A 25,061-nucleotide genomic window follows, 5' to 3' on the forward strand; every position below is an offset into this window, starting at 1 on the left:
TTTGGAATGTGTATATTTTGGTAATACACAATTTCTTCTTCCTAAGCTTAATTGTATAGCAGAAATAAAACAGATATAAACCACATAGATGGTTACAGTGATTTTAAGACTGTAAAATAAATATGGAGATCCTAAAGAGAAAACAACTATTTTGCCTGGAGATATCAAAAAAAGGCTCATGGTGAAAATAACATTTTTGTCAAGTCTTGAACTACAAATAGAATAGGAAAAATTAAAACATACCTGTACAACTAAAATGTTTGTTTGCAGAGCATTATACACAAAACAGAGGTCTTTAATTAAGTAAATAAAACATTGTCCAGAGAAATAAAACGTGAAACCCCCATATTTCATTAATTCATTCAATAGTCTTCCCTTATTCAAAATCAGAATAGGTATAAATATGGATTTTTTATAGAGAGTATACCATATTTTGGACATTCAATAAAAAAGTAAAACACACTCATCTAGTAATGGCAAAGTAATCAGACCAATCATTCCACTGAGAACAGATAAAAAGAAGTGAAAAAGCTTATGCAAACATGGATCTCACAGCATCTAAGGACTAAAAATATAGAGAAAAATTAGGTGGCCAAATTCTGGGAGAAACCCAGAGTTAAACCAGGTACCTCAGGCTGATTTTCCCCTAGGGATATCTGCCAATTCCAGGAGACACAAGCTAAGCAAGGATGTAAACAGATTTCATAGTTAGTAGGACAAAATTGGGGTTCAAGACCTGCCAAGGATTGAGGATCCTGATGGACTACAGGTCTTTTGTTAGAACCCTAAAGGGCACTACAGTAGGAGGAAGGTAATACTAGAAATTGACAGGGCTTTGCAGGGACTGATATTCAGCTTAATACACTAATTCCTGAATATATATCTGGATTTGTAAACATAAATCATTTCTAGAAGAACATGACATCATTCTAAACTTCTAACAATCTCTATAATTTTCAAATACAATTTTGAATGACCAATAATTGAAAGTAATAAGACATATCATGAGGCAAGACACATACGCAAAATAAGAAAGTAGACCCACATGAGATACAAATAATGGTTACTAAACATGTACTTTTTAAAAAACCATGATGAATATGGTTAAGAAAATTGTTTTTAAAGATTTGGAAGGTAGAACATCAGGGAGGGTCCAAGATGGCCAATTAGAAGCAACTGTGGTCCACAGCACTCACAGAGAGTAACAAAAAAGGTGAGTGAATACAGCACCTTCAAATGAAATACCCAGGTTCTTGCCAAGGGAACCCCCATCCCTAGCCAAGGGAAGCCATGAGTGATTGTGCAACCCCAGGAAACCAGGCTTCTCCCATGGATCTTTGTAATCCATGGATCAGTAGATTCCCTTTGTGAGCCCATACCACCAGGGCCTTAGGTCCAACACACTGAGCTATGTGGAGTCTTGGCAGAGCAGCTGTTCAGGCATGCACAGAGACCCAGGTGCTTTACGTACTCCGGCACTGGGATTTCCAACAAACATGTTTGCAACTCAGGCAAGGCAAGAGGTCTGCACATACCCCTAGGAAGTGGTCAGAATCCAGGGAGCTGAGCAGCATTGTTCTGCAGGCCACACTTCCACGGCACCTGAAAAGATAAGACCCACTGGCTTGGAATTCCAGCCAGCTACCAGCAACAGGGTGGAGCTTGCCTGAGACCAGATGGAGCCCCAGGGGGAAGGGTGGGCACCATCTCTGCTGTTTGGTCAACAGCTGTTCCAGCCCATAGGCTTTGGAGAGTCCAAACAGTTGGGACAAGTAATGGTCCCCCTAGCAGCACAGCATACTGGCTTTGCCAGATCATGGCCAGACTGCTTCTTTAAGTAGGGCCCAATCCATTCCTCCTCAATGGGCAGGACCATACAGCCAGGCCCTCCAGCCAGCCTGCCCTCACCTCTTATGGACAGAGCTCTGATCTCCCCATAAGATGGAGTACCCAGGGGAGGGGAGGGCCACCACCTGGGTTGGTTGAATAACTCAGCCATTCCAGCCTGTGGGCTTTAGAGAATCCAAGCAGACAGGAGCAGAGGAAGTTCCCCAACACAACACAGCTGTTTTGTTGAGGTGTGACAAGACTGATTCTTTAATCGGGACCTTGATTCACTCCTTCTTACAGGGCAGGCCCTCCCACTGGTATTCTCCCAGCTGGGGCCTCTAGCCACCCCCACCCATATTCTACCAGCCAACAGAGCCCTAATTTCTCCCTGGGACAGAGTGCCTGAGGGTCAGGGCAGGCTGCCACCTTGGCCATTCAGGCTTCTCAGCCAGTCCACCCTGTGTCCTTTGGAGAGCCCAAACCAATTGGGAGCTGAAGGGATCCCCAACACAGCACAGCTGCTCTACTAAAATGCAGCCAGTCTGCTTCTTTAAGGGAGTCCCTAATCCTGTTCCTCCTAACTGGGTGAGATCTGCCAACCATGGTCTCCAACTACTTCCTACAGGCACCCTTGGGCCAGCAATAGGTCAGTCTCACCTGGAACAGAGCTTCCAGAGGAAGGGGCAGGCTGCCATCTTTGCCTTTTTACAGCCTTCACTGGTGATACCCCCAGGTACGGGAAAAACTAAGGCAACTAGGGTCAGGAGTAGCACCCCAGCAAACCACAGCAGACCTATGGAAGAGTGGCCAGACTGTTAGAAGAAAAACAAACAAACAGAAAACAATAACCACCACCACCAAAAAAAAAAAAAAAATCTGAAAGTCAGCAACCTCAAAAATCAAAGGCAGATAAACCCACAAAGATGAGAAAGAATCATTGCAAAAATGCTGAAAACTCAAAAAGCCAGAGGGCCCTTTTTGTTCCAAATGACTGCAACACTTCTCCAGCAAGGGCTCAGAATTGGGCTGAGGCTGAGATGGCTGAAATGACAGAAGTAGGCTTCAGAATGTTGGTAATAACTAACTTCACTGAGCTAAAGGAGCATGTTGTAATTCAATGTAAAGAGGTTAAGAATCATGATAAAATAATGTGTGAGCTGACAGCCAAAATAGCCAGTTTAGAGAGGAATATAACTGACTTGTTAGAGCTGAAAAACACACTACAAGAACCTCACAATGCAATAAATCATGAGTATTAATATCAGAATAGACAAAACAGAGAAAAGAATCTCATAACTTAAAGACTATCTTTCTGAAATAAGACAGGCAGACAAAAATACATAAAAAGGATGAAAAGGAATGAACCAAACTTCTGAGAAATATGGGATTATGTAAAGAGACTGAATCTACAACTGATTGGGGTACCTGAAAGGGACAGTGAGAATGGAACCAAGTTGGAAAACATACTTCAGGATACCATCCAAGAGAACATCCCTGACCTAGCAAATCAGGCCATCATTCAAATTCAGGAAATGCAGAGAACCCCGGTAAGATACTCCATGAGAAGATCATCCCCAAGACATATAATCATCAGATTCTCCAAGGTCGAAATTAAAGAAAAAATGTTAAGGGCAGCTAGAGAGAAAAGCCAGGTCACCTACAAAGGGAAGCCCATCAGACTAAGAGTGGACCTCTGGGTGGAAACCCCACAAGCCAGAAGAGATTGGGGAAAGACTTTCAATTCTTAAAGAATTCTTAAAGAAATTCACAAAGAAAAGAATTTCCAACCCAGAATTTCATATCCAGCCAAACTAAGCTCCATAAGTGAAGGAGAAATAAGATCCTTTTCAGACAAGCAAATGCTGAGTGAGTTCATTACCACCAGACCTGCCTTGCAAGAGCTCCTGAAAGAAGCACTAAATATGGAAAGGAAAAATTGTTACTAGTGACTACAAAAACACACTGAAGTACACAGACTAGTGACATTATGAAGCAACCACATAAGCATGTCTATAAAATAACTAGCTACCAACATGATAGGATCAAATCCACACATAGCAATCCTAACCTTAAATGTAAATGGGCTAAATGCCTCAATTAAAAGACCCAGAGTGGCAAGCTGGATAAAGAGCCAAGACCCATCAACATGCTGTCTTCAAGAGACCCATCTCACATGCAAAGACACACATAGGTTCAAAATAAACGGATGGAGGAAAATCTACCAAGCAAATGGCAAACAGAAAAAAGCATGGGTTGCAATCCTAGTTTCTGAACAGATATTAAACAAACAAAGATCAAAGAAGACAAAGAAGGACACTACATAATGTTAAAGGGTTCAATTCAACAAGAAAATCTAACAATCTTAACTATATATGCACCCAACACAGGAGCACCCAGATTCATAAAGCAAGTTCTTAGAGGCTTTTATAGAGACTTACACTCCCACACAATAATAATAGGAGACTTTAACACCCCACTGACAATATTAAACAGATCATTGAGACAGAAAATTAACAAAGATTTTCAAGACCTCAATTCAGCTCTGGATGAAGTGGACCTGATAGATGCCTACAGAACTCTTTACCCAAAAACAACAGAATACACATTCTTCTCATCCCTACTTGGCACGTACACTAACATTGATCACATAATCAGAAGTAAAATACTCCTGAGCAAATGCAAAAGAATTGAAATCATAAACAGTCCTTCAGACACAGCACAATCAAATTAGAAACTAATATTAAGAAATTCCCTCAAAATAGCACAACTACATGGATATTAAACAACCTACTCTGGAATGACTCTTTGGTAAATGATGAAATTAAGGCAGAAATCAGTAAGATTTTGAAACCAATGAGAACAAAGAGACAGCACACCAGAATCCCTGGGACACAGATAGAGCAACGTTAAGAGGGAAATTTATAGCACTAAATGCAGAGACATCAAAAAGCTTTGCCCACATCAAAAAGCTAGAAAGGTCTCAAGTTAACAATCTAACATCACAACTAAAAGAATAGAGAACTAAGAGCAAACAAACACCAATGCTAGCAGAAGACAAGAAATAACCAAAATCAGAAATGAACTGAAGGACATAGAGACACACACACACTCTTCAAAAAATCAACAAATGCAGGAGTTGGCTTTTTGAAAAAAATAATGAAATAGACCACTAACCAGACTAATAAATAAGAAAAGAGAAAAGACTCAAATAACACAATAAGAAATAATTTGGGGGTATCACCACTGACCAACATAAAAGAAACCATCAGAGAATACTATAAACACCTTTATGCACATAAACTAGAAAATCTAGAAGAAACTGATAAGTTCCTCAACATGTACATCCTCCCAAGACTAAACCAGGAAGAAACTGAATTTCTACATAGACCAATAATGAGTTCTGAAATTGAGGCGGTAGTAAATAGCCTACCAACAAAAACAACAACCAAAAAAAAAAAAAAAAAAAAAAAAAGCCCAGGTTCAGACAGGTTCACAGCTGAATTCTACCAGAGATACAAAGAACACCTGGTACCATTTCTACTGAAACTATTCCAAAAAACTGAAAAGGGGGGACTTCAACCCTAACTCATTCTATGAGGGCAGCATAATTCTGATACCAAAACCTAGCAGAGATACAACAAAAAAAGAAAAATTCAGGCCATTATCTTTGATAAACATTGATGCAAAAATCTTCAACAAAATACTTGCAAACTAAATCCGGCAGCACATCAAAAAAGGCATATCCACCACAATCAAATAGGCTTATCCCTGGGATGCAACGCTGGTTCCCCATACACAAATCAATAAACGTGATTCATCACATACACAGATCTCAAGAAAAAAACACATAATTATCTCAATAGATACAGAAAAGGCCTTCAATAAAATTCAACACTCCTTCATGTTAAAAACTCTCAATAAAGTAGGTATCAAAGAAACATACCCCAAAATAAGAGTCATATATGACAAACCCACAGCCAATATTATACTGAATGGGCAAAAGCTGGAAGCATTTCCCTTGAAAACTGGCACAAGGCAAGGATGCCCTCTCTTAGCACTCCTATTCAACATAGTATTGAAAGTCCTGGCCAGAACAATCAGGCAAGAGAAAGAAATAAAGCATATTCCAATAGGAAGAGAAAAAGTCAAATTATCTTTGTTTGCAGATAACATGATCCCATATCTAGAAAACTCCATTGTCTCAGCTCAAAAGCTAATTAAGCTGATAAGCAACTTCAGCAAAGTCTCTAGATACAAAATCAATGTACAAAAATTACTAGCATTTCTAGACACCAATAACAGGTGACCTAAGAGCCAAATCAGGGATGAACTCCCATTCACAATTGCTACAAAGAGAATAAAATACCTAGGAATACAGCTAACAAGAAAAGCAAGCGACCTCTTCAAGGAGAACTACAAACCACTGCTCAAAACAAACTGAGATTATACAAACAAATGGAAAAATATTCTGTGCTCATGGATAGGAAGAATCAAGATTATTAAAATGGCCATACTGCCCAGAGCAATTTACAAATGCAGTACTATTCTCATTAAACTACCATTGACATTTTTCACAAAATAAAAAAAAACTATTTTAAAATTCATATGGAACTAAAATAGAGCCTGAATAGCCAAGACAATCCTAAGCAAAAAGAATCTACAGGGAGGCATCACGCTACCGGACTTCAAACTATTCTATAAGGCTACAGTAATTAAAACAGCATGATAATGGTACAACAACAGACACATAGACCAATAGCACAGAATAGAGAACCCAGAAATAAGACCACACATTAAACACCACTTGATCTTCAACAAACCTGACAAAAACAAGCAATAGGGAAAGGAGTCCCTATTTAATAAATAGTGCTGGGAGAACTGGCTAGCCATATGCAGAAAATTGAAACTGGACCCCTTCTTTACACCATATACAAAAATCAGCTCAAGATGGATTAAAGATATAAATGTAAAATCAAAAACTATAAAAACCCTACGAAAAAATCTAGGCAATACCATTCAGGACATAAGCACTGGCAAAGATTTCTTGATAAAGATGCGAAAAGCAAAGATTGACAAATGCAATCTAATTAAACAAAAGAGCTTCTGCACAGCAAAAGAAACTATCATCAGAGTGAACAGACAACCCACAGAATGGGAGAAAATTTTTGCAATCTATCCATCTGAAAAAGGCCTAATATCCAGCACCTACTAGGAACTTAAACAAATTTACGAGAAAACAAACAACCCCATTAAGAAGTGGGTAAAGGACATAAACAGACACTTCTCAAAAGAAGACCACATGCAGCCAAAAAGCATATGAAAAAAAATTCAGCATCACTAATCATTAGAGAAATGAAAATCAAACTATGAGATACCATCTCACATCAATCAGAATGGCCATTATTAAACAGTCAAAAAAACAATAGATGCTGGTGAGGTTGTGGAGGAAATAAATGCTTTTACACTGTTGGTGGAAGTGTAAATTAGTTCAACCATTATGGAAGACAGTGTGGTGATTCCTCAAAGACCTAGTGGCAGAAATACCTTTTGAACCAGCAATCCCATTGCTGGGTATATACCTAAAGGAATATAAATCAATATATTATAAAGATACATGCGCATGTATGTTCATTGCAGCACTATTCACAATAACAAAGACATGGAATCAACCTAAATCCCCATCAATGATAGACTAGATCAAGAAAATGTGGTACATATACACCATAGAATACTATGCAGCCATAGAAAAAATGAGATCATGTCTTTTGCAGGAACATGGATGGAGCTGGACACCATTATCTTCAGCAACCGAACACAGGAACAGAAAATCAAATATCACGTGTTCTCACTTATAAGTGGGAGCTGAATAAGGAGAACATATGGACATATTGAGGGGATATGGCTATGCATATGGACACACTGGGGCCTGTTGCACGGTAGGTGGTGGGAGGAGGGAGAGCATCAGGAAAAATAGCTAATGGATGCTGGGCTTAATACCTAGGTGATTGGGTTATCTGTGCACCAAACCACCATGGCACACATTTACCTGTGTAACAAACCTGTGCAATCTGCATATGTCCCCTAAACTTAATATAAAAGTTGGAAATCAAAAAATAAATAAATAAAAAGTAACATTTAAAAAGATTTAGAAGATATTCAGAAACTCAAGAAAATTTTTTAACTAAAATGGATCTCTAGAAAAAAGAATGAAGTTCTGACACATGATACAACATGGATGAATCCTGAAGACATTGTACTAAGTGGAATAAGCAAAGAATAAAAGGATAAATATTGTATAATTCCACTTACATGGCATACCTTTATTAGTCAAATTCACAGGGACAGAAGATGGAGTGGTAGTTCCCAGGGGTTAGAAAGAAGGTGGAATGGGTGTCATTGTTTAATGGGCATGAAGTTTCAGTTTTAGAAAATAAAAATGTTCTGGAGATGGATGGTGGTAATATATGCACAACAATGTGAATATACATAAATATATTAGTAATTATATTAAATATTAGTCCATTTTATGCTGCTGATAAAGACATACCCAAGACTGGGTGATTTACAAAAGAAAGAGATTTAATGACTCACAGTTCCACGTGGCTGAAGAAGCCTCACAATCATGGCAGAAGGAGAAAGGCAAGTCTCACCTGGTGGCAGACAAGAAAAGAGAATGAGCGCCAAGTGAAAGGGGTTTCCCCTTATAAAACCATCAGATCTCATGAGACTTATTCACTACCATGAGAACAGTATGGGGGAACATGTCCCTATGATAAAATTATCTCCGGGTCCCTCTCACAAAACCAGAGAATAATAGGAGCCACAGTTGAAGATGAGATTTGAGTGGGGACACTGCCAAACCATATCATTCTGCCCTGGCCCCTCCCAAATCTCATTTCCTCACATTTCAAAACTAATCATGGCTTCCCAAAAGTTCCCCAAAGTCTTAACTCATTTAGCATTAACTCAAAAGTCCATAGTTCAAAGTCTCACCTAAGACAAGGTAAGTCCCTTCCACCTATGAGCCTGTAAAATCAAAAGCAAGTTAGTTACTTCTTAGATACAATGGGGGTACAGGTATTGGGTAAATACGCCTATTCCAAATGGAAGAAATTGGCCAAAACAAAGGGGCTACAAGTTCCATGTAAGTCTAAAATCCAGCAGGGCAGTCAAATCTTAAAACTCGAGAATGATCTCCCTTGACTCCATGTCTCACATCCAAGTCATGCTGATGCAAGATGGATTTCCATGGTCTTGGGCAGCTCCACCCCTGTGGCTTTGCATGGTACAGCCTCCCTACTGGCTGCTTTCACAGGCTGGCATTGACTTCTGCAGGTTTTCCAGGTGCATGGTGCAAGATATCAGTGGATCTACTATTCTGGGGTCTGGAGGATGGTGGCCCTCTTCTCACATCTCCACTAGGCAGTGTCCCAGCAGGGATTCTGTGTGGGGGCTCTGATCCCACATTTCCCTTCCACACTGCCCTAGCAGAGGTTCTCCATGAGGGCCCCGCCCCTGCAGGAAACTTCTGCCTGGACATCTAGGCATTTCCATACATCCTCTGAAACCTAGGCGGAGGTTCCCAAACCCCAATTCTTGACTTCTGTGCACTGGCACGCTCAACACCACATGGAAGCTGCCAAGGCTTGGGGCTTGCATCCTCTGAAGCCATGGACTGAGCTGTACCTTGGCTCCTTTTAGTCACAGCTGGAGCAGCTGGGATGCAGGGCATCAAGTCCCTAGACTGCACACAGCAGAGGGACCCTGGGCCTGGCCCAAGAAACCACTTTTACCTTTTAGGCTTCCAGGCCTGTGATGGAAGGAGCTGCCGTGAAAACCTCTAACATGCCCTGGAGACATTTTTCCCATTGTCTTGGGGATTAACATTCAGCTCCTCATTACATATGCAAATTTCTGCAGCCAGCTTGAATTTCTCCTCAGAAAATGGGATTTTCCTTTCTATCACATTGTCAGGCTGCAAATTTTCTGAACTTTTATACTGTTTCCCTTTTAAAACTGTATGCCTTTAACAGCACTCAAGTCACCTCTTGAGTGCTTTGCTGCTTAGAAATTTCTTCTGCCAGATACCTAAATCATCTCTCTTAAGTTCAAAGTTCCAAAAATCTCTAGAGCAGGGGCAAAATGCCACCAGTCTCTTTGCTAAAACAAGAGTCACCTTTGCTCCAGTTCCCAACAAGTTCTTCATCTCCATCAGAGACCATATTAACCTGGATTTCATTGTCCATGTCATTATCAGCATTTTGCACAAAGCCATTCAACAAGTCTCTAGGAAGTTCCAAACTTTCCCACATTTTTCTGTCTTATTCTGAGCCCTCCAAACTGTTCCAACCTCTGCGTGTTACCCAGTTCCAAAGTCACTTTCACATTTTTGGGTATCTTTTCAGCAGCGCCCACTCTACTGGTACCAATTTACTGTAGGAGTCCATTGTCCTGCTGCTGATAAAGACATACCCAAGACCGGGCACAGTCGTGGTGGAAGGCAAAAGTCACATCTCACCTGGTGGCAGACAAGAGAATAGAATGAGAGGCAAGCAAAAGATTTCCCCTTATAAAACCATTAGATATCATGATACTCATTCAGTACCATGAGAACAGTATAGAGGAAACTGCTCCCATTAATCAATTACCTCCCACTTGGTCCCTCCCACAACATAAGGGAATTAGGGGAGCTAGCATTCAAGATGATATTTGGGTGGGGACACAGCCAAACCATATCAAAATATAAATGGATTAAGTGTCCCAAATGAAAAACAAAGATTATCATACTGGATAATATTACAAACCTATCTATATTCTGCTTACAAGAGACACACTGTAAAATATTAGAATGAAATGTTGAAATTAAAATAATAGAAAAATGATATACCATAAAAATTTTAACCAAAAAAAACTGGTACAGGTATATTAATATTAGAAACTAGGCTTTGAAACAGAGAGCATTTTTTAAAGATAAAGAGGCTATATATGCCGAACATGATGGAACACTATAGAGCAATTAAAATGGAAGAACTGTAGCTCATCACAACATAGATGAATCTCTCAAACATAATGATGTACGAAAGAAACCAAATGCTAAAGAATACATACTGTGTGGTTCCATTCGTATAAAGATTAAAAGCTGCCAAAATGGCACAAGAAGTCAGAATAATGTGTTCCGGGATTTTGTGCAGGGTCTTTAGTTGTAGCTGACTTCTTGTCTTTAGTTTCTCAGAGGAGTATGTTACCAAGTATTTCTGGTGTTGAAGCTTTGGTATGTGATTCAGTAGGTGGCACTGATAGTTTATTGAGCTGAACACATAATTTATTCATTTTCTGGATTGACATATTTAATTCTAATTTTTTCCATTTTAAAAATAGGAATATAAAAAAGCAGGTCTTTATTTTGTTTATTATGCTTCCACAGTGGAAAGTAGGAGTTGGTAAAAATTATTTTGAGTTGACAAAGTGTGATGATGATATGTAGCACCTGCTGTGATAATCTTAGAAACCTATTAGTAAATGAGCATATTACGGACATCTAAGTTAGATGTTTAGGAAGTGCCTCTTTCATCAACATCACAAATCACTATCAGATAGTGTTACTTTTCTAATTATATTATTGGCTTCTGATATATATTAATATAAGTTGCTTCACCTCAATATGACAATTGAATGATTTATGAAATTATTGAGATTTTATTAATAAATATATATCTCCAAGTAATATCTCTCCAAGGTCATAATTTTGTCAACATACATAATCAGGCATTTCTTATATTTCTGCTTGTAATAATCATACATTGGGACAAAATGAAAAGGAAACAAGCCTTGAGTTCTATACAGACTCTAGTACAAGGAAGAAACAGTAACAATCTCCAACCACTCGGTGATGATAAGGATGTCTTGATGTCTTGATTCCTACTGCTGGTAAGCACATAAAGCAGATAAATTCATGATAAATAAGGTTCCCACTTCTAATGAGTTTCTTGTGGGAGGAAGAAAGCAGTGAGAAACAATCCTTTATTTTTGATGTAACTCTAGAAGAGGAATCTGTGAGAAACAGAATTTCTATAAGTAGATGAACTCTGGCCACAAGAGGGCGATACGAGGCTTGAAGCACACTGATTCCAAGGCTGTGAGATCTATGGCCACACAGTCAGTACTACAATAGAAATCACTAACATCACCTTAATCACTAGCTGCATCCATTCCAAATCCTGTGCAATGTTCTGCCCTTGTCCAAGAAGGATAAAAGGGGTACTCAGTGGCAGTTCTTTTTCCTGCTTCTTGATTGTACTTAATAATAGATTTCTTCCATGTTCTTAATAATAGAACAGATTTCTTCCAATTCAAACAGCCCATATATTAGGGAAAATTGAATAAGCTCTTTATTCCATCCTCAATTCTCCTAGTAAACTTCATTCTGTTCCTACCAGAATAACATGACAACAGAACTGTTCTAGAACCATTCCAGCCTTTTACGCCATTGAATGCTATCTATATTTATTAGGCTAATACTAATTAGTTGACTAATACTAGTCTAATAGTTAATACTAGTCTAATGCTATTAGACTAATACTAGTACTACTAGACTAATACTAAGACTAATATTCTGCTCTACATCTATATGAAAAATAAAATAAAGGGAGAATGAAAATGAAAGTTGGCAAGGTTCTGTAACAATTACATACATCTCTAAGAAGTACAACTATATTATGTCTGTAATAATATTTAATGGCAGCTTTTTATTTTATAAATTTATAAATGTTCTCTATAAAATACTTATTTAGGTTGGAATGGATTGACTTTTCAAAGTTAACTAGAAGTCAACAAAAAGGAAGTATATATAATGACAAGGTAGATGATGAAAACCCTTTGACCGCATATTTAACCACACATCTGAAGACACTTTAAGATAAAGCCATCAGCAAGAGTTGCCCATTTTCACTGCTATGGCAAAAAGAGGCTAATTGATGTCAATGGTTTATAACTTAGCCACAGATGCAAGATATTTTCCTTTTCACCTGAGCTATAGCATAAAATTTAATGACTTCTTCCTTTAGTGCCTTCATATAATACTACTACTTAATTGTTTACTTCTGGGGGAAGTTGGGTTACCGTAAGATATTTTATACATAAAATTTTATATTTTACATCTTAAAGTCACACTGAAAAACAAAGAAGTTAAAACTATCTAAGACTATTTTCTTAAGTCAGCATGTTGCCTGTGGTGGTTTGGAAAGTATGTCCACAAATTATTTGACTCTCCTCCCTTTAAGAGGTATAGCCTAATTCCCCTCCCCTTGAGTATAGGTTGGTTTTAATGACTAATTCCTAACAATTTGAATACACTGAAAGTAACAATATTCACTTCTAAGACTAGGTTATTACAAATCTACAGCTTTTACCCTTGGAATCTGCTTTCTTTGTCCCTGGGGGAAGCCATGTCATGAGCCTTATGGAGAGGCTGATGTGAAGAGGAACTGAAGCCTCCTGCCAACAGCCATAGCTGTCAGTCAAGCAGCTCCTCCAGACTCAGTTAAGACTCAGATGGCAACAGCCCTGGAAGATACCTTGACTGAAGCCACATGAGAAACCTTGAACCACAACTATCCACCTAAGCCTCTCTCATATTCCTGACCCGCAGAAACTATGAGACAATAAATATTTATTGTTTTCAGCTTATATATTTTAGATAATTTTTACACAGCAATAAATGAGGAACATATTGACATATGCTGAATTGGATGGACACATTTCACAGAAGCTTAAGCAAACAACAGACTGGGCCCCTCTTGTTTTTTCAGATGTTTAACAAAAAGATGTTACAAAAATAGACTACATGCTTTTTCTAGTACTACTGCTGTCGCTCTATGACTGTTCATGGCTAACAAAACAAAAGGTACAATTTAATTCGAAAGTTCTCTTAGCTTAACTTTATTTTTTTATCCATATAATAAATTAAGATTCTTCAAGGACTATGAGGGCAACAAATCCCACAGAGGAACACAGAGTTCACCTTCCTATCTAATAGACTGACAAAAATTTATGATTCTAGGTCATTTTAACAGCCCATGTGGGGAGACGGTACTGCCAGACATGGAGCATGATAGAACTGACGACTAGTGCTTATAAATCCTTTTGTTTTAAGAGTGGTTTTTAAATCATTTTTACTAGTTTTCATCTTTATTAGTTAAGATAATTGGTGTTTTTCCCATTTTACTGATAAAGAGCCTGGGAAAGAGGAATACTACATTCCTAAGCCAATCAAATATCATGAGAGTCTAAGTAGAAATCCATATCTCTTTAATTTAGATTAATAAGCATTTATTGAGTTTCCACAATATTCTAGACACTGTGCTAGGCACAGGAGGTACAAATAAAAATAAATATATCTCATTTTCTCCAGAAGCTTAAAATCTAGTAAATTTAAAAGCAAATGGTAAGAGCTATGATAGTAGCAATATATAAAGTACAGTGGAAGCAACGAGGAGGAGCACTTATCATATTCTCTTATGATCAGGGGATGATACCTGGGCTTCAGTTTCTAATGATGAATAAGGATACTTATTTTTCCTATTTCTTTTGTATGCCAAGGAACTCTAAATTACCTGTATCCTAATTCTCATTTGTTTATGAGAACCTTTTCGATTGATCTATTTTGTTGTATGATAGGATTTCAAAGAGGAATTTTTGTCTCACACATCAAGATACAGTAGATACTGAATCCCAAAGTGATTGTCAGACTCTATATAAATTTTCAAATAAAATTATGAGAACCAGTTTTGATACATTTAAAACCTGTCATCCACATCGAAGACATAAAAGGTTGAGAACAGACACAGAGGGTAGAATTACAAACTTACCTCTTGAAAAGAGCTTTGTCCTTCAATTAGGTCTAGGAAGTGTTTCAGGAGACCCTTGAAGACCTTAATCAGTGCTGCCTGCAGTTAGGGAGCACACTGGACTGGTGTGGAACACAAATCTGAGCTCTCTGTGGCAGGATGCTGTGACTGTTTGCCTGAGGGATCCAGAGAGAGACATCCAAGACATTTGCTGGTTTTACAGGAAATGGGATCTGGGAGGATCTCTACCTGGAATCATTATGGCAGTGAGCCTGCCAGGTTAACCAGAGCTTTGGGTAGATGGCAGGAGGATTCTAGCAGAGTCTGGGCTTGGCATGGGCTGTGTAAAATCCAGAAGCTAAGTGGGGAGTGGTGGTGATCAGTAGAATGAGGACACTGCCAACGCTGTGTCAGGTATGGTCAGAGGGGCCCAGCAGGCGAGCTGTCAGAGAATCCAGACTGGCCGCACAGAGAAAAATTTACCTTTAAACGTCAGTCAGGCTCAGAGAGTAAAATGGCAGAATTAAAGCATCAGTCAAGTAAGAACTTTCTAGTCCCTCTCCTTTCCTTTTGTCCTTCCCTGAGCTCTATACTTGGAGAGACCTGACGGTGCTTACGTGGGAAAAGCAGCCCACTGCTCTCCCTGCCAAGGCAGTTTATAAAGCAGCAAGGGATAGAAGGGGGCAGGAGAGAGGAAGGAAGTTTACCTTTAAATAAAGATTAAAATTTGGACTAGAATTTATAATTTCTGAATCAAATTCTGTTTTACAACTTAAACCAACCATGGGATTTTTTTTGTCAAGTTCCGTTGGGCTTTTATCCAGCAGCAGAAAAAACCTTTACTCCACTAAATACACTTGAAAGTGACATTGGGAGACAAAATTAAAATTGTTTTCCTTATTACATTGCTCAACCCCTATTTAGCCAATATATCAGTTCTATTTACATGAATGGAAATATTATTTAGGTTAGCTTGTGAATAAAAACAGGAATTTAAATGAGATATTTCATTGCTATCATGAAAAAAATATGATTTTAAGTAACAGCCACAGGCCAGGTATGGTGGCTCATGCCTTAATCCCAGCGCTTTCAGAGGCCAAGTCAAGAGGATTGCTTGAGCCCAGGAGTTTGAGGCTAGTTTGGGCAGCATAGTGGGACCTTGTCTCTAGAAAATAAAAATAAAAAATAAATAGCTGGGCATAGTGGCACATGCCTGTAGTCCCAGCTACTCAGGAGGACGAGATGGGAGAATTGCTTGAGCCCAGAAAGTCAAGGCTGCAGTGAGCCATGATGGCACCATTGCATTCCAGCCTGGTCGATAGAACAATACTATCTCTTAAACAAAGAAAGAAATAAATACAAGCCACAATGCCTTACATCTAAAAAACTTTTTAAAAACTTAAAAGTCACTTTTACATATATATTTCATTATCTCTACAACACTTCACAGTAGTAGCAGAATATATTAAGCACCACATAGAGATCCACATACATAGAGCCAACAAAACTCTTCTAGGAAAATAGCCTGTTGCATGTCAAGAGTAATGCTATCTTGAAGCAAAACCACCATCATGGCCAGTGTTTGACCCCCACATACCAAGGTGTTCTGCAGTAAGGTCTTTACACAATGTCTGTAGCATAGATAACTCCTCATAAAGATGCTTCTCTAACCTCTCCACGAGTTTTGGCAAGAAAGTCTGAAACATGACCAGCTGCACATGTTTTACCCTAAAATCTTGCTTTATAAAGAATACTTTCTGGAAGGCAAGTATGCAGATCCACCATCTAGTGACTGCTCAAGACATTGCTTCTATTTTTATATCCCGATTAAACGTTCTTTTCTGAGAAACTGGACTTGTTAGCCTCTTTCTTCAGTCTGTCAGCTCCCTCAGCATTTTGGAGTAGGTTTGCATAGACCTTCTCATTGTGGAACATTTGGTGGTTTGGGTCCTGGGGCACCTGGTAGCAGAAGCTGCATTGTGGTTTAGACATTATACTCATATGTTTTTTATGGTCTTGTTTTTGGCTTTACTGTTACTGTGGAAACTGCCTCCAATGGAGCCAATGCACTGCTGTTAAGCTATGCAAAATTAGGCACATTTCCTCTAGACCCAGGAACTATTGAGGAAGAAGTAAAGGAGTAAGACTGTAAGGGCCAGTTTGGGGTGGGGGTGAAGTGTAAGGAAACAGCATGTTGCATGGTAAGAGTGATGCCATCTTGAAGCAAAACTGATGATTGACCCCCACATACTTACAAGTTCTGCAGTAAGGTGTTTAAACGATTGCTATAGCATGGATAATCCCTCATAAAGATGCTTCCCTAACCTCCCAAGTGGTCATGAGTCTTTGCAAAAAACTCTGAAGATGTGACCAGCTGCATAGGTTTTACCCTAAAACCTTGCTATATAAAAGATACTCTCTGGATGGAGAGGAGGAGCCAGATGGCTAAATAGAAGCCTCCAGCTATCATTTCCCCCCATAAGAACACCAAATTGAACAACTATCCCCACAAGAATGCACTTTTATAGGAACCAAAAATCAGGTGAGCAATCACAGTACCTGGTTTTAACATCATATAATGGAAAGAGGCACTGAAGAGAGTAGAAAAGACAGTCTTCAATTGCTGACACAACCCCTCTCCCCTCGCCAGCAGCAGCCATGTGGCATGGAAAGATATGTTTGCTTAGGGGAGAGAGAACACAGTGATTTTGAGACCTTGCATTGGAACTCAGTACTGCCTGTCACAGTGGGGAAAGTAACATGGGGCAGAATTCAGCTGGCACCTGTGGAAGTAGTATGTAGACCAGCCCTAGCCAGAGAATTGCCCTTTCCAGTAGTCAGAACCTGAGTTCCAGCAAGTTCCAACATTGTGGGCTAAAGTGTTCTGTGGTCCTAAATAAACTTGAAAGGCAGTCTAGGCCACAAGGACTGCAATTCCTGAGCAAATCCTGATGCTGTGCTGAGCTTGGAGCCAGTGGACTTGGAGGGCACACAACCAAGTGAGACACCAGCTGGGGCAGCCAAGGGAGTGCTTGCATCACCCCTCCCCAAACCACAAGCAGCACAACTCATAGCTCCAGGAGAGACTACTTCCTTCCATCTGAAGACAGGAGAGGGAAGAGTGAAAATAACTTTTTGTTGCAACTTGAATACCAGCTCAGCCATGGTAGAAAAGGGCACCAGGCAGAGTTTTGAGGCCTTCCCCCATTCCAAGCCCCAGCTCCTAGATGACATTTTTAGATATGTCCTGGGCCAGAAGAGAACCTACTGCCTGAAAGGGAAGGATCCAGTCTTGCCAGGATTCATCATTGGCTGACTAGAGAGCCCTTAGGCCTTAAATAAATATCCGTGGTACCCAAGGAGCTCTTACTGTGAGCCTTGGATAAGACCCAGGGCCATGCTGGCTTCAAATGTGACCCAGAAAATTCTCAGCTGTAGTAACCGTGCAGGGAAATGCCTTCTGCTAGAGCAAAGGGGAAGGAAAAGTGAAGGGGACCTTGACTTGCAGCTTGGGCATCAGCTCAGCCACCATGGGATAGAGCAGCAAGCAGACCCCTAGGGTTCCTGATTCCAGGCTGTGGCTATTGGACAGTATTTCTAGACCCACCTTGGGCCAGAGGGGAGAGACCTAGTCCTGGTAACATTAATCATAAGTGAATTGAAAAGCCCATGAGCCTTGAATGAACATCAACAGCATCTAGGCAGTAAGAGCCACTGGCTGGTGTGGTGGTATCCACAGAGCAAGACTCTTTCTGCATGAGGAAAGGAGAAGGAAGAGTGATAAGGACTTTGTTTTGTGGCATTGGTGCCAGCTGAGCCGCAGTAGAATAGAACACCAAGTAGATTCATAACATTCCTGATTCCAGGCTCTGGTTCCCATCTCCAAGCCCTCGCTCCCAGACAGTATTCTGGGACCCACCCTGGGTTATGGGGGAGATCACTGCACTGAAGGATAGGACACAAGCCTGGCTGGATTCACCAACTGCTAACTGAAGAGCCCTTGGGCCTTGAGTGAACATTGGCAGGAACCAGGCAGTGGTTGCCTCGGGCCTTCATCAAGACCCAATGCTGTGCTGAGTTTTGGTCTGACCTGGTGCAGTCCCAGTGGTGGTGGCCACAGGGGCTCTTGCATCAATCCTCTCCCAGTTCCAGGCAGCTAAACATAGAAAGAGAGACTTCATTTGTTTGGGGAAAAGCAAGGGAAGAGAACAAGAGTCTCTGCCTGGTAATCCAGGGAATTCTCCCTGATCTTACCTGTGTCAGTCCATTCTCATGCTGCTGATTAAGACATACCTAAACTGAGAAGAAAAAGAGGTTTAATGAACTTATAGTTCCACAGGCTGCAGAGGCCTCACAATCATGGTGGAAGGCAAGGAGGAGCAAGTCACATCTTACATGGATGGTGGCAGGCAAGAGAAAGCTTGTGCAGGGAAACTCCCATTTTTAAAACCATCAAATCTTGTGAGACTTATTCACTATTAAGAGAACAATGTGGAAAAGACCTGCCCCCATAATTCAACTACCTCCCACTGGGTTTCTCCCACAACACGTGGGAATTGTACGAGTTACGATTCAAGATGAGATTTTGGTGGGGACACAACCAAATCATATCATTCTACTCCTGGCCGCTCCCAAATCTCAAGTCCTCACATTTCAAAACAATCATGCCTTCCTAACAGTCCCCCAAACTCTTAACTCATTTCAGTATTAACTCAAAAGTCTGCAGTCCAAAGTCTCATCTCAGACAAGGCAAGTCCCTTCTGCCTATGAGCCTCTAAAATCAAAAGTAAGCAAGGCCGAGCCAAGATGGCCGAATAGGAACAGCTCCGGTCTACAGCTCCCAGCATGAGCGATGCAGAAGACGTGTGATTTCTGCGTTTCCATCTGAGGTACTGGGTTCATGTCACTAGGGAGTGCCAGACAGTGGGCACAGGACAGCGGGTGCAGCGCAGTGTGCGCGAGCCGAAGCAGGGCGAGGCACTGCCTCACTTGGGAAGCACAAGGAGTCAGGGAGTTCCCTTTCCTAGTCAAAGAAAGGGGTGACAGACAGCACCTGGAAAATCGGGTCACTCCCACCCTAATACCACGCTTTTCTGACGGGCTTAAAAAACGGCACACCAGGAGATTATCTCCCGCACCTGGCTCGGAGGGTCCTACGCCCACGGAGTCTCGCTGATTGCTAGCACAGCAGTCTGAGATCAAACTGCAAGGTGGCAGTGAGGCTGGGGGAGGGGCACCTGCCATTGCCCAGGCTTGCTTAGGTAAACAAAGCAGCCGGGAAGCTCGAACTGGATGGAGCCCACCACAGCTCAAGGAGGCCCGCCTGCCTCTGTAGGCTCCAACTCTGGGGGCAGGGAACAGACAAACAAAAAGACAGCAGTAACCTCTGCAGACTTATATGTCCCTGTCTGACAGCTTTGAAGAGAGCAGTGGTTCTCCCAGCACACAGCTGGAGATCTGAGAACAGGCAGACTGCCTCCTCAAGTGGGTCTCTGACCCCTGACCCCTGAGCAGCCTAACTGGGAGGCACCCCCTAGTAGGGGCAGACTGACACCTCACAAGGCCGGGTACTCCTCTGAGACAAAACTTCCAGAGGAACGATCAGACAGCAGCATTCCCAGTTCACGAAAATCCGCTGTTCTGCTGCCACCACTGCTGATACCCAGGCAAACAGGGTCTGGAGCGGACCTCTAGCAAACTCCAACAGACCTGCAGCTGAGGGTCCTGTCTGTTAGAAGGAAAACTAACAAACAGAAAGGACATCCACACCAAAAGCCCATCTGTACATCACCATCATCAAAGACCAAAAGTAGATAAAACCACAAAGATGGGGAAAAAACAGAGCAGAAAACCTGGAATTTCTAAAAAGCAGAGTGCCTCTCCTCCTCCAAAGGAACGCAGTTCCTCACCAGCAATGGAATAGAGCTGGACGGAGAATGATTTTGACGAGTTGAGAGAAGAAGGCTTCAGATGATCAAACTACTCCGAGCTACAAGAGGAAATTCAAACCAAAGGCAAAGAAGTTAAAAACTTTGAAAAAAATTTAGACGAATGTATAACTAGAATCACCAATACAGAGAAGTGCTTAAAGGAGCTGATGGAGCTGAAAGCCAAGGCTCGAGAACTACGTGAAGAATGCAGAAGCCTGAGGAGCCGATGCGATCAACTGGAAGAAAGGGTATCAGTGATGGAAGATCAAATGAATGAAATGAAGCAAGAAGAGAAGTTTAGAGAAAAAAGAATAAAAAGAAATGAACAAAGCATCCAAGAAATATGGGACTATGTGAAAAGACCAAATCTACATCTGATTGGTGTACCTGAAAGTGACGGGGAGAATGGAACCAAGTTGGAAAACACTCTGCAGGATATTATCCAGGAGAACTTCCCCAATCTAGCAAGGGAGGCCAACATTCAGATTCAGGAAATCAAGAGAACACCACAAAGATACTCCTCGAGAAGAGCAACTCCAAGACACATAATTGTCAGATTCACCAAAGTTGAAATGATGGAAAAAATGTTAAGGGCAGCCAGAGAGAAAGCTCAGGTTACCCACAAAGGGAAGCCCATCAGACTAACAGCGGATCTCTCGGCAGAAACTCTACAAGCCAGAAGAGAGTGGGGGCCAATATTCAACATTCTTAAAGAAAAGAATTCTCAATCCAGAATTTCATATCCAGCCAAACTAAGCTTCATAAGTGAAGGAGAAATTTACAGACAATCAAATGCTGAGAGATTTTGTCACCACCAGGACTGCCCTAAAAGAGCTCCTGAAGGAAGCGCTAAACATGGAAAGGAACAACCACTACGAGCTGCTGCAAAATCATGCCAAAATGTAAAGACCATCGAGACTAGGAAGAAACCACATCAACTAACGAGCAAAATAACCAGCTAACATCATAATGACAGGATCAAATTCACACAGAACAATATTAACTTTAAATGTAAATGGACTAAATGCTCCAATTAAAAGACACAAACTGGCAAACTGGATAAAGAGTCAAGAGCCATCAGTGTGCTGTATTCAAGAAACCCATCTCACATGCAGAAACACACATAGGCTCAAAATAAAAGGATGGAGGAAGATCTACCAAGCAAATGGAAAATGAAAAAAGGCAGGGGTTGCAATCCTAGTCTCTGATAAAACAGATGTTAAAACAAAAAAGATCAAAAGAGACAAAGAAGGCCATTACATAATGGTAAAAGGATCAATTCAACAAGAAGAGCTAACTATCCTAAATATATATGCACCCAATACAGGAGCACCCAGATTCATAAAGCAAGTCCTGAGTGACCCACAAAGAGACTTAGACTCCCACACATTAATAATGGGAGACTTTAACACCCCACTGTCAACATTAGACAGATCAACGAGACAGAAAGTTAACAAGGATACCCAGGAATTGAACTCAGCTCTGCACCAAGCGGACCTAATAGACATCTACAGAACTCTCCACCCCAAATCAACAGAATATACATTCTTTTCAGCACCACACCACACCTATTCCAAAATTGACCATATACTTGGAAGTAAAGCTCTCCTCAGCAAATGTAAAAGAACAGAAATTATAACAAACTGTCTCTCAGACCACAGTGCAATCAAACTAGAACTCAGTATTAAGAAACTCACTCAAAACCGCTCAACTACATGGAAACTGAACAACCTGCTCCTGAATGACTACTGGGTACATAATGAAATGAAAGCAGAAATAAAGATGTTCTTTGAAGCCAACGAGAACAAAGACAAAACATACCAGAATCTCTGGGACGCATTCAAAGCAGTGTGTAGAGGGAAATTTATAGCACTAAAGGCCCACAAGAGAAAGCAGGAAAGATCCAAAATTGACACCCTAACATCACAATTAAAAGAACTAGAAAAGCAAGAGCAAACACATTCAAAAGCTAGCAGAAGGCAAGAAACAACTAAAATCGAGCAGAACTGAAGGAAATAGAGACACAAAACACCCTTCAAAAAATTAATGAATCCAGGAGCTGGTTTTTTGAAAGGATCAACAAAATTGATAGACAGCTAGCAAGACTAATAAAGAAAAAAGAGAGAAGAATCAAATAGACGCAATAAAAAATGATAAAGGGGATATCACCACCGATCCCACAGAAATACAAACTACCATCAGAGAATACTACAAACACCTCTACGCAAATAAACTAGAAAATCTAGAAGAAATGGGTAAATTCCTTGACACATACACTCTCCCAAGACTAAACCAGGAAGAAGTTGAATCTCTGAATAGACCAATAACAGGCTCTGAAATTGTGGCAATAATCAATAGCTTACCAACCAAAAAGAGTCCAGGACCAGATGGATTCATAGCCAAATTCTACCAGAGGTACAAGGAGGAACTGGTACCATTCCTTCTGAAACTATTCCAATTAATAAAAAAAGAGGGAATCCTCCCTAACTCATTTTATGAGGCCAGCATCATCCTGATACCAAAGCCGGGCAGAGATACTACAACAAAAAAAGAGAATTTTAGACCAATATCCTTGATGAACATTGATGCAAAAATCCTCAATAAAATACTGGCAAACCAAATCCAGCAGCACATCAAAAAGCTTATCCACCATGATCAAGTGGGCTTCATCCCTGGGATGCAAGGCTGGTTCAATATACACAAATCAATAAATGTAATCCAGCATATAAACAGAACCAAAGACAAAAACCACATGATTATCTCAATAGATGCAGAAAAGGCCTTTGACAAAATTCAACAATGCTTCATGCTAAAAACTCTCAATAAATTAGGTATTGATGGGACGTATCTCAAAATAATAAGAGCTATCTATGACTAACCCATAGCCAATATCATACTGAATGGGCAAAAACTGGAAGCATTCCCTTTGAAAACTGGCACAAGACAGGGATGCCCTCTCTCACCACTCCTATTCAACATAGGGTTGGAAGTTCTGGCCAGGGCAATTAGGCAGGAGAAGGAAATAAAGGGTATTCAATTAGGAAAAGAGGAAGTCAAATTGTCCTTGTTTGCAGATGACATGATTGTAAATCTAGAAAACCCCATTGTCTCAGCCCAAAATCTCCTTAAGCTGATAAGCAACTTCAGCAAAGTCTCAGGATACAAAATCAATGTGCAAAAATCACAAGCATTCCTATACACCAACAATAGACAAACAGAGAGCCAAATCATGAGTGAACTCCCATTCACAATTGCTTCAAAGAGAATAAAATACGTAGGAATCCAACTTACAAGGGACGTGAAGGACCTCTTCAAGGAGAACTACAAACCACTGCTCAAGGAAATAAAAGAGAATACAAACAAATGGAAGAACATTCCATGCTCATGGGTAGGAAGAGTCAATATCGTGAAAATGGCCATACTGCTCAAGGTAATTTATAGATTCAATGCCATCCCCATCAAGCTACCAATGACTTTCTTCACAGAATTGGAAAAAACTACTTTAAAGTTCATATGGAACCAAAAAAGAGCCCGCATCGCCAAGTCAATCCTAAGCCAAAAGAACAAAGCTAGAAGCATCACCCTACCTGACTTCAAACTATATTACAAGGCTACAGTAACCAAAACAGCATGGTACTGGTGCCAAAACAGAGATATAGATCAATGGAACAGAACAGAGCCCTCAGAAATAACGCTGCATATCTACAACTATCTGATCTTTGACAAACCTGAGAAAAACAAGCAATGGGGAAAGGATTCCCTATTTAATAAATGGTGCTGGGAAAACTGGCTAGCCATATGTAGAAAGCTAAAACTGGATCCCTTCCTTACACCTTATACAAAAATTAATTCAAGATGGATTAAAGACTTAAATGTTAGACCTAAAACCATAAAAACTCTAGAAGAAAACCTAGGCATTACCATTCAGGACACAGGCATGGGCAAGGACTTCATGTCTAAAACACCAAAAGCAATGGCAACAAAAGACAAAATTGACAAATGGGATCTAATTAAACTAAAGAGCTTCTGCACAGCAAAAGAAACTGCCATCAGAGTGTACAGGAAACCTACAAAATGGGAGAAAATTTTCACAACCTACTCATCTGACAAAGGGCTAATATCCAGAATCTACAATGAACTCAAACAAATTTACAAGAAAAAAACAAACAACCCCATCAAAAAGTGGGCAAAGGATATGAACAGACACTTCTCAAAAGAAGACATTTATGCAGCCAAAAGACACATGAAAAAATGCTCATCATCACTGGCCGTCAGAGAAATGCAAATCAAAACCACAGTGAGATATCATCTCACACCAGTTAGAATGGCAATCATTAAAAAGTCAGGAAACAACAGGTGCTGGAGAGGATGTGGAGAAATAGGAATGCTTTTACACTGTTGGTGGGACTGGAAACTAGTTCAACCATTGTGGTAGTCAGTGTGGCGATTCCTCAGG

General features: G+C 40.4%; 1 long non-coding RNA gene across 1 annotated transcript, besides 2 other annotated features; it reads right to left on the reverse strand.

Moving 5' to 3' along the window:
- Positions 1-259: 259 nt before the first annotated feature.
- On the reverse strand, positions 260-8,457 carry LOC105378844 (uncharacterized). Its single transcript, XR_947581.2, has 3 exons — positions 8,422-8,457; positions 2,488-2,623; positions 260-1,602 (listed from the first exon to the last, which is right to left on the reverse strand). It is a non-coding gene; the product is annotated as an uncharacterized LOC105378844 (long non-coding RNA).
- Positions 1,255-1,756: an enhancer, noted in NCBI's record as "H3K27ac hESC enhancer chr1:89938329-89938830 (GRCh37/hg19 assembly coordinates)". NCBI's record gives its function as "activates a minimal SCP1, AML or CMV promoter by ChIP-STARR-seq in primed H9 embryonic stem cells {active_cell/tissue: H9 hESC(primed)}" and the evidence as "EXISTENCE:reporter gene assay evidence [ECO:0000049][PMID:30033119]".
- Positions 16,202-16,402: a silencer, noted in NCBI's record as "peak312 fragment used in MPRA reporter construct". NCBI's record gives its function as "represses an SCP1 promoter by STARR-seq MPRAs in K562 erythroleukemia cells {active_cell/tissue: K562}" and the evidence as "EXISTENCE:reporter gene assay evidence [ECO:0000049][PMID:32103011]".

The sequence above is a fragment of the Homo sapiens genome, chromosome 1 (genome assembly GCF_000001405.40).
Source record: "Homo sapiens chromosome 1, GRCh38.p14 Primary Assembly".
Classification (NCBI taxonomy): domain Eukaryota; kingdom Metazoa; phylum Chordata; class Mammalia; order Primates; family Hominidae; genus Homo; species Homo sapiens.